We start from the raw sequence: 15,251 nt of genomic DNA, 5'->3' as shown, positions 1-15,251 counted from the left end.
TCGTTGGCCTTATGCAGAGATTTTGGGTTAGGTATAAGTGAGATTTGCTTAAGCAGTGCTTCTCAAAATTTGATGTATATACAAATCAACTTCTGAATTTTTAAACAAGAGTGTTCTGATTTAGTAGACACTGGGAGGAGCCTGAGTTTCTGACTGTCTAACAAGCTCATAAGTGACACCTATGTTTTTGGTCACTATGTTGCTGGGCCACGCTGTTAGTTGTAATAGACTAGAGATAGGAGGTCAGATAGTCATCATACTTTGTCAGTTGTATCTCAGAAGCAAACCTGACAGGTGGTTAAATAGCTTCTGATCACCTATATGAGTAACGAAATCTTCTCCACCTGGGAGCCCTCTGAGTCAATTTCTGTGAGCAATCTCAAGCCTTTTCAGTATATTCATACCTCTCTTGGTAGACATAGGTTTGCTCTTGCCTTTTGGGGTACCGATCCTTGGAGATCTTCCGTTTATTGCTCCTACCATTACTCTTCTTCCTCTTCCTTTTTCTCTTCATTATGCTGTCATCGCACTTTGTTATCAAATGAGAACGGAACATTTATTTGTCTTGGGTAATATACTTTCACTGAGTTTGAATTCCAGGGTCAAAATTTGTTTCTGTCCATTCTAATGCTCTTTCTTAAAATTAGAATCTTCCTTCTTTGAGGCCCTCTGCTATCTCCTGGCCTCACAGACGTTAAATGTTGTAAAGGCTTTGACTGAAGTTTATGTTTTAATATATAATTTTCCATTAGATACGAAGAGACATATACATTATAGAAAATACCTTAATATTAAAAATATTATTTACAATTTAAATGTCTTCCGATTCTCTTCAGTCAGAAGTTGATCTTTAAATATATGGGCAAGACCTAGACATTATATGTGAAGGCTTTTCTCTCCATGTTATGGTACATAGCACACAGCTTAGAACATGTTAGATGCTAAATATTAGCTTGAGTAAATGAATGAGTAAACTCTTAAGTTAGTGGATGAATTATGGAATAGTTTAAAAAAGAGAATTATCTGGTCAGGTATTTAAAATATTCTATTTAAAAGAAACATAAGTAATTTGTTTTAAAGGTAAAAATGTAATAAAAATGTTTTTAATTTCCAGACATAGCCTGAAAGCAATGCAATACACTTGAAATTTTATTTAACATGAAATTAGCTTAAAGACAAAATAAATTCTTCTGTCCACTTATTTACCTAACATACACTTGCTTCCTTGGAAGTCATAGGCATCCACATATCTTCAGCCACAACTTGGTATTTCTAATATAATTCTTATTTTTGAACTCCTAAACTTTCTGGTAGAAATCTTCAGTTGAAAATATCCTGGCAAGTAAAATTAGAAACTCCCAGAAATGTACTTATTTCTATTATGTTGTTTTATTTCTGAACATTGTGCCCAACATTCTTTTCCACATACTTGCCCAAATTGGAAAACTAGGGTTCTAAGTTTCCCCCTCCATCATTGCCCACATTTAATTCACCCTAATAATACCTGACATCTTTCAAGTTCATTTTCTACTATCTATCCCCACGCATGGCCATTATCTTGGTTTGAAGCTTCATTATCTCTATAGATTAAAAACAAAAACAAAATGCATACAAGCAAAACAAATAACATACAAACAAAACCCACCTAACTCATCTTTATGTAGTCAGTTCTCCCTCAATAGTTTTGCCAGACTTCCTAAACCGAAATCTGATTGTGACTATCCCCTTCTAAATGTATTTAATCAGCATACCCCTTCAATAAATCCATTAACCGTTCTTGTTATCCAAGACAGTTTGTCATCTGTCTTGGATAACAAGTTGCAGACTCCATCCAATGCCATTTTCCCCTAGAAATATAGATAATGGCACTATAGGAACAATGATCTCCACATGCCTCATGCATTGGTAATTTTTTTAACCTTTGCTAGAAATGTTCTGCTCCACTCTACTCATCCACCACCCATTCTACTCCACCTTACACTACCTCTTTTCCCATTTAGATCTTCCATTCTATATCTCCTTGCATGAAATTGTCCATACCTGCTTAGTACTCATCTCATTATTTTGTCATTGTGCGCATATCTGTTCATATGATTTCTTATGGAAGTTATTAAGTATTTTGATTTCTGTTTCAGTCAGATTTCCAACAGAGAAGTAGAACCAGTAGAAAATATATCTTAAGATACTTATTGGAGGGAATTAACTTACATGGTTGTGGGAACCGGCATAGCCGTCCTAAAATTTATATGGCTGACTATCAAAAAAGACAGGCTGGAACTCTTAGGCACAGGCAGAAGTTGCAGTTCACAGGTGAAATTTGTTCTTTATCCTGGAAGCCTGGGCTCTGCTCTTTAGATTTAGCAGCTGACTGAATCAAGTCCACCTAGATTACCTAGGATAATCTTGTTTACGATTATGATTATCACTACCAGTTATCAACTGATTTTGAACTTCATTCACATCTACAAAATACCTTCATAGGAACATCTAGATCAGTGTTGGATTAAATAACTATCAGCTGTAGCCTAGCCATGTTGACCCATCAAAAGACCATCACAATTGCTGATATAACTTTAATAAAATTTGCAACATTTTCAGATGGAAGAATTGAGAAAAGGGAAGCGGGCTGACTTTTCATTTTAGAATTTATTATGCATTAACTTAAAGTAAGTAATAATTATGTAGGTGATCATTTTGATATTTTAACCTACTTAATTTAGAAAATCATTTAAAATCATTTTTGTTAAGACTACAAAATGATTTTGGGTAAAAAAAAATTTTACCAAATATCAAGATCACAATAATCACTTAAAATAGTTACATATGTAACTAACCTGCACAATGTGTACATGTACCCTAAAACTTAAAGTATAATAAAAAAAATAAAATAAAATAAAATAAAAATAAAAAAAATAGTGACATACGTAGAGATATATATACAAGAAAGTATGAACTAGGGTCTGCTTTGTTATGCTAGAGAATTAAACATAAAAGTTAAATGTAGGATATAAAAAACAAAGATACAGAATTTTATCAAGTTTACAAAACGTTTTTCTTTGAAAAAACTTTTTACTGAAAATATATTGACTGTGTGAATTAATTGTGAAATATCAAGATAATGAACAGACATTTACCATTCTAAATAAGCTGATATTATTGTGAATAATTATATGTAACAATTATTTTACTGATTATGTGCAAAATGACATTTTTTAGAAATAAATATATCTTACTTTTGAACAATGTACACCTAACATATACTGCTTTCAATGTGTCAAATTAGTTTTACAGTTAAGAATGAACCCTGGATTATAACTTTAGGCACCAAGATAATTAAATGGAAACATATCAGATCTATGTAATTTAAATATTCAAATGATTAATGATCTTAATTGATATTCTAATTATTATTTTTTTCAAAAAATTTAAAATCTTAAATAAATAAAAATATTGGTATACATTTTATTGCTTAAAAATACACATTTTACATCGTACTAACACATGGCTATTGTAATACATGAATACATAATATAAATAATAGTAAAATAAATAATTTTATGCATGTGTTAATTTTAATATCTATCACTGCTATAATTATGTCATAAATAACAGGGTGGCTTAATAGCAAAAATATTTGGAAATAATTTGAAGAGGGACCCAAAGAAAAATAAGTTTACAATTTATGTGTTTAAAAGTTAATGTAGACTTTTAGGGCATTCACAGGTAGAAGAAGGCAACAGATACACTCCCCTAGTCTAGCACATCCATACTCATAACATCTATTTGCTTTGCTTTGTCAAAACATATGAAAAATCATTAAAGTGTTTTAATAAATGTCTGGTTTTCCTGCTCATTCATCTTATAAATATTAATTAGCCATGGATCAGGCAATTAAAGTTTAATCAATTTGCACTAATTAGCACCACATACTTGCATAAAAAGATAAAACCAACTCCTGCATCTGGCTGTTATTTGCAGTTTTTGTCAAGTGCTGATGAGTTTAATCTTGAAGGGAAGATTAAGAAGAAAAGAAAAAATAAATCAAGAAAGTAGTGTTAATTTTATTAAATTTTCACTCAAAGCAGTGGTCACGAGTATCATGGAGATAATGCCAGCAACATTACACTTTTTAAAAATCTACACCTGATTCCACCAGCTGCTTCTTCATAGCCTTGTCCAGTGAGGAGGGGGCCACATATCTTCTCTTTCTGACACTGCTATCTGCTTTTTATTTAACCTTTTTGATAAATCCAAATCTGACTCAGTTCTATCCTTTGTGACTTAAAAATTTTAAAATGAATGGTCCTCACAGTCATAGCCTTTAAGGATCAACTCTCTTCCTTCAGAGTGAATGTGAATGTCCACATTGAAGATACAGTTTAAAAATTATAGCTTTATAAATGAAATTGAAATGTTCTTTACTAAATATTATGTGTGAGTGTGATGGTAAGAGAGAACTCTGGAAGACTTAAAATTTGTATTCTGACTTTTTGTACGTATATCACAGCTCAATACGTTTTTGTCCCACATAGACTTTAGGAGACTGACTCCTGTTTCTCTGTCTTTGACTTCTGAATTTGATTAAATAAATTACACTGCCAATCTAGTAAGGAGACATTGTACAGTGCATTTGCATTACTATTTTGTGTTTTAATAACCAGAGAAAATAAAGTGATCCATTACTGCCTATTCATATAATTGACAAGGATTATAGGGAATGGAACTAGTCTTTAATCACTGATGGAAATTTATCTTAGGCTTGGCAGGTAAAACTACACGTTTTAAGAAGATTTAGCATTGTACTAAAAAATAGAGCATGATTCATAAAAAAAGCTATGCACCATTTATATAGAGATTTTTATTCAGTTTATGCAAGAATAGACCACTGAATGGTTATTGATATTTTTCAAATAAAGTATGTATGATTCATTAAACTCCCTATTCCCTTGTGAAGCCACTGCTCTGTTAAGCCCTCTTTGAGTACATATCCCATAAAGAAAGCAGAGGCAGAAAGGGAGGATGTCATGCTTCAATGCCTTCTTTTTTAAAAAGTGCCTAAAGACAAGATCACATACAGTAACAGATAACTCTCTAAACTACCATCTGGATTTCAATACATGCGATTTTCACATGGTTGTTGAAAAAATGTGAATATGTTTTTTGTTAGTACATTACATGCATGCTGGTCTAGAGACATACACACCTGTATACACTTTAAAAGTAAGACTTCGAACCAAAATTCAATGCTCTAGAATCTTTCTGCTACGAATGAAATAGTACATGAAAAAAATGCATATAAAATCTAAATTACTATTAAAAAACATAGCTTCATGGGCAAAGAAAGATGTCACTGCTATGCTTCAGTAGCCTCCTAATGAACACATTCCCTATCTTCTTATATTAATAATATTTAACATCCCCAGCCTTATATTTACAGGTTAAGGGAAACTAGAATAATATGTTAAGAAGATCTGAATATTCATTAATTCTCTGTCCCATTCAAGGCTAAAGACTTTAGGAAATGTTTTTACTTTCCTATCTTTCTAATTTTCTTTTAATTCCCTATCTTTTCCCATACACATAGGGGTTTATTTTCTACTTTGTTCAACAAGTATTTTTTGGCCTCACATTTGTGCATGGCAGTGGTGTAGGGAGCCAAAAAAATATCACTTGAGAAATGATAGAAGTAAATCAGTATGCTAAGCCTGGAAGGATGGATGTTACAATTTTCTTCAAATATCTAAATATTTATAACATGGAAGAAGACTTAAATCTTACTCCCTTTTATTCCAGGAAGAAGAGATGGATAGAAGCCATAGGAAAACAAACATTTACTTTGTGTAAAAAATAACCCTTGAAGATAAATGTGTGACATTTAAATGGTTTGTCATGGGAAGCAATGACTCCAATCGATCCTTTACAAAGATGCTTTGTGAGGAATATCGCTAAAGAATAGAATTGAACACCAGTTGTAAGATCCCATGCAAAAATTAAAATATGATATAATTGTTTAAAATATCATTGGATAATATCCTCCCTTCAGAAAATAAATTTATAAATTGCTAAATATGATACACAAATAATGAACTATAATTTCCCTAGCCATTTAATTTTAACACAAAGAAATTCCCATTGACATTATTAACCTGGGTCTTCAAAATAATACTCTCCTTTGTAAGTTGAGGGCCAGATACTGAGGAGTTCCCTGTTTGGTGAGCTATCTCTGCAGAGCCAGAATAAGCCAGTGTTTTTAAAATAGAAGAAGAAAAAGGAGAGGTAATCACAATTAATGTAGCCCAGCTTTCTGACACTGTGGGCCTTACAGATCTCAGATTCTACATTTCTCTGAGAGAAGAAAGTCCATGTAAAAGTAATGTTGGCTTTAATTTTTCTTCTCAGGCCGTTTCCATCCATATATATTTTTGTGAGAATATAATTGAGAAATAATTGGATTTTTATAGCTTACTCTAGCCTACTCAATAGGGTTTTTTCTCTTCTACTTATATACTATTTACTAGAGGGATCAAAACTATAGAGTGGAAGAACTCTTCTCCAGACAATTAAAAATACCATTGTTCATTATCTGAAAATAGTCATCAGGCATAAGTGATACAATCAGATATATTTAAAGAAAGCAAATGAAAGCTTAAGAATAGTCAAAGGATAAAGACAGCACATATACTTGAATTTGTTGATATTTTGTCCTATTTTTAAATAATATAATTCATAAACATTGCATACAATTATTAATTATGAAGATATAAAATAACCTATTAAATGCTAGTAAAGTCGGTAGGTTTAAAGAAGAAATCTGTCTGTTGTAGCTTTTTATAAAACTGAATGGCATAATAATTCTTTTTTATCTGAATCTAATTTAAATTCACATCATAAAAAAAATACAGCAGTTGTGTTATTATTTCTTTAAAACAGTAGAAATTATCTAACTTTCTACTTTTTTCAAGAAATAGGTGAATCAAAATTGCTTCTCGGGACAGATACAGATGCAAATATGTCATACCTATACATATCTTCCATATGAGTTCATTTTGTAATAAGTTTCTTCTGTAACTTATTACAAAAGAATTATACATATTTACATAACTGTCTAACATAACTAAAAGATTATTTGTCCTGTTATCAAATTATATTTTTCTCTCTAAGATTTCATGTTGAAGACTTCTTAAGTGAATTCTTTGAATATAATATCTTTGGAGTATGAATGAATTTTCCAAATCACAAATGAAATCTCTCTGGCAACTAGTATAAAAGATCTTATTTGCCCCTTGGTACATACTCTTACATCCCATTAAGATGTAAGGAGGAATAATAATGCAGGGAAAAAATGTAATAGAATTTTAAATACAAAAAGATTTGTATTCCTCCCCAAATGATATTTAACTTGACTTAATTTCATTTTAACAAAATTTCATTTTAATAAAATATACTTAGTTTAATTTTTAAATTATGTGTTAATTAACTTTTGTTAAAGAGAGTTTTGACAATTTTTGTGCAATCTATTTTGAGGAATTTCAGGAAATGGAAAAATTTTGGCAGGAAGAAAATATGTTTTCAGCAAAAAAAAAAATTGACATCAAACACTATTATATTACAAACCAGCATCCTGACAGTCACCAACATTTATTTGAAATTCCACTGTGGGTTTGTTATAGTTTGAATGTGTCCTTTCCAAAATTTAGGTGTTGCCAATGCAATAGTATTAAGAAGCAGGATCTTCAAGAGGTGATTAGGCCATGAGTTTCCCTCTCTTATGAATGCAATTAAGGTCCTTATAAAAGAAGCTTCACAGGGTTCCCTTAAGCCTTCCCCCTACTGCCACATGAGAACACAGCATTCCTCCCCTCAGAGGAAGTCACCATCTTGGAAGTAGAAAGCAGCATTCACTGGATAACCACACCTGCCAACACCTTGATCTTGGATTTGCCAGACTCAAGAACTGTGAGAAAATAAATTTTTGTTCTTTATAAATTACTAGTCTCAAGAATTTTGTTATAGCAGCACAAATGGACAGGTTCCAAATAGCTGTGGTTATTCTCCAGAATTTAATGGCTTCCCATGACTGGAAAAGCATCCTTCTTCATGCTTTTATAACACCATTTATAATTTTTTTTTTAGAATTCCCTCTCTTATTAATAAAAAATCAATTACTAAGAAATCCCTTTGGTCTTTTGTAACCCTTTTTTATATTTAAACATCATACTCTTTATGTACTTCGAGTATTTTGCATTTATCATGTCATCCCATGAGAAAACATGCCTAATTAAAACAACTTGTACAGTGCCAAGAACTCCACACATACTTAAGAAACATGAAACATGTTAGAAATGATTGTGATGCTTTTCCATCCAACATTGCTTGAGAATGACCAATATTTAGAAGCAATCATACTAGGAAAAAAATTTAATCTGTTTGTGATGATTAAGTGAAATCTAGAAGCCAGATATGGTAATGAATCTTGAACAGAACTTGTTAAACATATTTTTAAAAAGTGGTTAGGAAGGATTATTTTTAACTGAGACCATTTGTTGCCTTAAATAAAAATCAAGAAATTCTGAAATAAAATACAATTGGTAAAAGGAATATGACTGCAATTTCCCTTCTTTTCAAGAAATAGATTAATGTGTAGTTTTTGGTTACTATCTTCAACTAAAAGATAGTTTGCAAACTGTTTACTTAATATATGAATCTGATAGCAGGATAAGCTTTTGAATGAATTCCGATGTTGGCAAAAGGTCTATTTAGGGATATCTCTAATTTCCATTAAGGCACATGCCTCCTCAGAATCCCCCATGCCTGTGGCCTGTTCAACCAGGGCCACATACCCTTTTTGACACCTTCTTACCAGTACCTGGTCTTGAAACATTTTATAGTGTTTTCCACCAAGCTCCAATCAAAATGTATGCCATTATTTCCCATTTCCATGAGATCAGTCTGCCCACGGTCAGATCTTGTTTCGGGTAAAACTTTCTCTTACCTCCTAGACAACTGGGGAATAGACTCTATCACCTACCTGAAGGAACGACCTTTTAATTTTGTCCAAGAATTCAGGGGGGTGTATAGGGATGACTTGTTTCAGTTCCTCCATGCCTGGAGACTAAGCTGGGGAGCCAGTATAGATAAATTGGGGATATATACCTCTAGGACCTCAGTTCTTGCTCTTACCTTGGTTGGCTGGAAGGCCCAAGAAACTTTCATTCATATGTTTGATATCTCAGTTCTTTCTACATAGTCTCTCACTTTCTGTGTGGCTAGGCTGGTCTTCTGAGAATGGAGGTCTCAAGGTAGTTGGACATGGCTGCTGTTTTCCAAGAGGAAGGAGCAGAAGTTGTCAAATCTTCTTACAGACATCAGCCAGAAAAGGAAACATCATCACTTCCACTATGTTTTATTGGTTAAAGCATAAAGCCAGCCCATATTCTGCCTCTGGAAAAGATGGGTGGCAAAGAATTTGCAGCCACCACCAACCACAAGTTATTTTACATTCTTGCTACTTTCAAAATGCACTCAGACTATCCCAAGATGCCAAAAGTCTCATCTAATAAGACATCAGAAACTAGCCTGGGAATTTACCATCTAAATAGTTCCAAGAGTAGGTTAGCGTCTTCTGGCGTGGTTTCTCATGTGTAATTCCTTAGGTGTGACTCCTCATGACCTGATAATTGTGAAAGGAGATTATCTGGGTTCTACAAATACATGCACTTTATAAGACATGGATGGGAACACTTCAACACATACTTTTATTCAAAAAGAGGGCAACACAGGACACATTGCTGTTACTAGTAGCAGTTCTCAAATCCTATCAAGTTCCTACTGCTGGATCTTTGGTTCTCTGTGCCTCTTGCCTCTACCTTCTGATTCATTCTTTCTTTTCCATAAAAAAAGTGACCATATTTGATGCTGAATAGCTTTCTTATTCTATTTTATTGTTGTAGAAGTTCTGGAACCTAAATGCCCTCCTTTCATTTTGAGCTATCTTTGTCACTTACAGACCAAGCTGGTATAATTTCCTTAACATTTCTTTCTTCTCTTTTGTGTTACATGTTAATTCACATGCGTGGACAGAAGCCACACTCAGAAATCTGTTTTGAGACAGGGCTCTCTCTGCCTTGGGTTGAGAATCAGAGTGCTGTTGGGCAATGCCCTTATAATTCTTAGAAATCTTTTAGTCTCACTGAACAGATTGGCTATGCACTGCCATAAATATTTTGATGTATTAACAAAGAGTCTTGCTGGCTGAAGTTATTTCTTATCTGAGAGTTTTTCTAGGGGTGAGAAATATGCAATTATAGGGCAGTTCATTTTGAATCCAGTAGGTTCTGTTTCTGAAATATTTTCTCTATATCTGGCTTGAAACCGAACAGCTCCTTCTTTAGTTCATGTCTCTCCGGACATGCTTTATTAAATACAGCTAAAATAAATGCATTGGCACATTAAACACTCCGAGTGGCAATCTCTTTAGCCAACTTCACTAGTAAATTAGGCTTATTTCTATTTTCCAGAGTTTTGCCAAACTTTTTTGTCACCATTTAACATATGTCTGTTTTTATTCAGCCTCTAATAACAATTTTCTCTCTGTCCTTTAGCCTTTAACTAATCTCTTGTTGGTATTTTATGGTTTGAAGATCACCATTTCATCCCAAAGACAGTGCCATGTATATGAGGTTTTTGTAATGGACATACTTCATATCCCTGGTAAGAAATCCTATCTCAGTTATCAATTGCTACATACACACCCCCATTGCCCAAAACAAAACACAACGCTAAAACAATTTAAGATTAGCTTTCCCAGTTATATGATTTGAACAGCACAGGTGGCCAATTGGGAGCTCTTTATACAGTTCAATTAGAGGTGATAGGAGTTGGAGTCATCTGGATATTCAACTGGGCTTGTAGCTTAAATTATTCACACTTTACTCATGTAATGATGAACAGTTTTAGGTGCTTATAATATGTAGAGGCTAACTCTCTCTTTCTCTCACTCTGTCTTTCCCTCTGTTTGTCTCTCCTCCTTTTCTGTCTTCACATGGGCCACTGACATGGCTATCTTGAGCTCTCTCACAGCATGGTAGCTAACTTTTCCTGGAACAAGCATTTCAAGAGATTTTGTCAGAAGCTGCAAGTCATCTTATGACTTAAAATTGAAAGTCATGTGTCATACTCTATCACTTCTGCATTCTATCAAAAGGGAGTAACAAGGCCAACCCAGATTCCAGGGTATGCGTATTGTGCGGCACTGCTCATTGTAGTAGGACTGCAGGGTCATCTTTCAAGGCTAGCTTCCAGAACAAGAATGCCTATTTCAAAAAAATTATTTGATCACCTCTAAATAAGCCTTTTTTCCACTTTCATACTTATTTTTAAACTCATCAAATTGTATACATTAGATATGTACAGCCTTTTGATGTTAATCACACCTCAAAAATGTTTTGTTTTAAAAGAATTGCTTTGTCAGTTCTATAACTTAACAGAAGATCTTTTCTCTTCAGGGTATAGCCTGAAATTCCAATTTGAGCTAAACTGTTTCACTGATGAAAAGCCCAAAACCCAGTGCAATAGGTTTTATGACTATAGTAATCATTACAGCAAGACCCAGATTTAGAGACACCAGGAAATGACAAATAGTGACACTGAATCACCTGTTGATTTGGAATACTGAAAATTTTGATAATTTATGTCTTTGAGATGGCATAAACATAATTTAGAAAATTTTTCATTAAAAATTACTTTAAAAATCTTGATTGCTTAGCTTTAGAATTTTGTGCTGAATCCAGGTTTAGATATATATAGTGTTTTTGTGTTATGCTGTAAGTCTGAAGTTATTTATCTGAAATGTTTCATATAAACTAAGTAATAAGTGACCCACTTAGAATTGGTGGCTATATAATTAACTTGTTTATGCCTACAAAGACAGAAAGAATATGTTGATTTTATCTTAGTCAAAAGATTAAAAAGCTAATAACGCTCCTCTTCTTGCATTACTAGTTTGATAATGTTGACAACTTATCCTATTCTTAAAATCACAGCTACCATACACAACACAGTAGACTCACCTGTTAAATTACTGTGCATTTTTTCCCCTTTTGAAAAGAAGAATGAGATTTTAAAATTCAATCCTTATGGTAGAAATAGATATAATGACATTTTTGATTACTCAGATAACATAGATTCCTCTCTTTAATTTTAGTTTTAAAAACAATTTCAGATCAGGAATTAATGCAAGCAATCAAATGTGATAATAAAATTGCAAACTTCATCTAAGGTCAAAGTATATGCATGGCATTTATAGAACATTTCAACTTATATAAAGATTACAACGAAGCAAATACTGGTAAGGAGATTGTTGCACATGTTGGTTTCTAATCTATTCAGGGTGAATGAAATAATCAACGATATGAAAACACCAAAGGAGGAAGGAGAGAGAAAAAGAAAATAGGAGGGAAGATGCCGTAGATGTACAGGGCACTTCTATTGGAAATCATGATATTTAGAAGTATTGACTATTACAACTGAAAGAAAGCTTTAAGGTTATTTTGCAAATCTTGATAGGGCCTCCAGAAGTAGTGTCCTTGTTGCGGTCATCCTCTCATCCCCAGCTCAAAATTTGGTTTTGCTCTTAGGATTGGTGATATCAAATAGCCACCAAGAGAGTCTGAAAAGGTTTGCCACTCTAGTAATAATATGGTGGATGATGAAAGGATCAATAGTGCAAGCTCTTAGCTTACCAAGTAAATTTCACAAATTTAATTAAGGTAAAAGGGTCTTGTACTATGTGGAAGGTAATATCCCATCCCATTTTTTTGAGCTACTGTGTAAGTTTAAAATGAATTTCCTTGGATGAGAATGTTATTGATATTGACATGAGGCAGGGAAATACTGGGTAGGACAGGGTATTTCCCTGGCAAAGTCCCCACTTTCAGGCCTGGAAACTCATGGCCCTAAATGGGAGCAGGTATTCCTGTTATCATGCCCAAATTTTGCCTTTTCCAAGACCCCTCTGGCATGCCACTCCCCTATCCTGTACCTGTATAAACCCCAAACCTCAGTCTCCACGAGCAGAAGAGTGGTGAGGCAGAGAAGGAGACAAGAGAAGGAGCATCTGAACGTTGAGAGGAGTTTGACTGGAGATGGTTGGAGAGGAGATTGGAAGTGGGACAGCCAAACTCCTGAGGAAGACCATCTTCCCACTCCATCCCCTTTCCAGTTGCCTATCCATCCCACCAAAAGCCACCTCCATCACTTAATAAAATCACCAAATTTGCCAACCTTCAAGTCTGTGTGACCTGATTCTACCTGGCCACCAGACAATGACTCAGGTACCAAGAAGGCAGTGTGTAAAAGGCTGTCATCCTGACTCTCCACTAGCTAGTTTAACACTTAGCTGTCTGAGGACGGCAGCTGCTAATAGCATTAATTGTAACACACCTCTACATGTTACCATGGGGCTGGAGCCCAAAAGTACTTGCCCCAGCTTCTGCATCTGCCCATCTACATGCTCCCCATCCTTAAGAGGTTTAAGCATACAGCAGCTGAGCAAACAAGTCACACCCCTGTCACAAGTCCCACGACGGGGTCAGGGAACTCTCTCATCTCATCATCAGTGTGATCTCAGAATTGTACCCTTGAAAAAAGTTAGATGTGGCTAAGATCTTGTCTGCAAAATCTTGCCTGCATAATCTTGCCTGCCAAATCTTGCCTGCCATTTTGTGCAATGGCAGAGCTTTTGAGGAATCCAAAAGGGTAGCTGGGAAAATGTATATCATGTTTCTTCAAAGGTGAAGTCAGGCTGTGACTGAGAGGCTGTTCAAATTGGTCTTGAACAGAACATACTAGCCAAATCTATACTTGTAAACTACTTTTCAGTTGCTTATTGGATAAAGTCAGTGATTTTAATAATATTGGATATGGGATCTTAATTGACTATTCTATGGCATTAAAGTTGGGATAATCCAGGGTGAGTCGCTATTTGTTCTCTCCAGTTTTAAAAACAGGCCCACTTGGAATGTCAAACAGAGAAACAATGGGAATAATCACCCTTTCCTTAAATACATATTTTATAATGAGCTTCAATCCTCAAGCTAGTCAATAGGCAGCAGCTTAAGGTGCATACGGGAGAGCAGCAACAGAGTCAGTGAACAGACCAAAGCAAGACAATAGGACTCCACTGATAGTGGGTCTCCCAAGACATGTTGCTCACTGTGCCAATTGTTATAGTCACCCTGAACAAGGGTGACGGACTCTCTACCCAAACATTGGTTTAGATGTAAAACCAATGATGATGCCACACATATATCCACACAAGCCAAGAGGAGGTTTCTGGTGAAAGAAAGGTGGACTTCAAGCAGGCAAAAAAAAAAAAAAAAAACATGCTTGAGGGAACAAAAACAAGGTAACTGGGTTGGGGTTTTATTATGATTGGGGTTGGGATTGAGGTGATGGTTTCCTTACAAGGGCTATGGCTTGCATGGTCCGAGTTTCTTGCTGGTGCCAAAGGAGTGTGAGCACTGGACTTTCACAGCTTGTCCAATGTGGGAAAGAAGTGGACGAAGGAGCACTGGTGCCTGAAAGCTGTGAGCAGTCAAATATAAAAATAGAGTCTCGGGGCCGGGTGCGGTGGCTCACGCCTGTAATCCCAGCACATTGGGAGGCCAAGGCGGGCGGATCACAAGGTCAGGAGATCGAGACCATCCAGGCTAACATGGTGAAATCCCGTCTCTACTAAAAATACAGAAAATTCGCCGGGCGTGGTGGCGGGAGCCGGTCGTCCCAGCTACTCGGGAGGCTGAGGCAGGAGAATGGCGTGAACCCAGGAGGCAGAGCTTGCAGTGAGCCGAGATCCCGCCACTGCACTCCAGCCTGGGTGATAGAGCGAGACTCCATCTCAAAAAAAAAAAAAAAAAAAAAGAGTCTCATTCTTTATTACAAACCTAAAACAGTCTCATAACCACTGCAGTGATGGGGGAAAAAAGATGTGGTATCTACTTAGCTTTACTGTTCCCAAGGTCATAAGCCCATCATTAAGCTGACAGTATTTACAGAAATAATTCTGTTTTTTTTTTCTTTTCTTTTTTTTTTGTTTTTTTTTGAGACAGAAGCTTGCTCTGTTGCCCAGGCTGGAGTGCCACAGCATGATCTCAGCCCACTGAAACCTTTGGGTTTAAGCAATCCTTCTGCCTCAGCCTCCTCAGTAGCTGGGACTACAGGTACACAACACCACGCCCAGCTAATTTTTGTAT

General features: G+C 35.1%; 1 annotated feature.

The window, feature by feature from the left end:
* Nucleotides 3,725-4,245: an enhancer, noted in NCBI's record as "VISTA enhancer hs129". NCBI's record gives its function as "enhancer in: eye[2/4]" and the evidence as "EXISTENCE:transgenic organism evidence [ECO:0001131][PMID:17130149]".

Source organism: Homo sapiens, chromosome 13 (assembly GCF_000001405.40).
Source record: "Homo sapiens chromosome 13, GRCh38.p14 Primary Assembly".
In the NCBI taxonomy this organism is placed as follows: domain Eukaryota; kingdom Metazoa; phylum Chordata; class Mammalia; order Primates; family Hominidae; genus Homo; species Homo sapiens.
The sequence above is the reverse complement of the archived record's forward strand: the minus strand, read 5'-3'. Positions and strand labels throughout refer to the sequence as shown.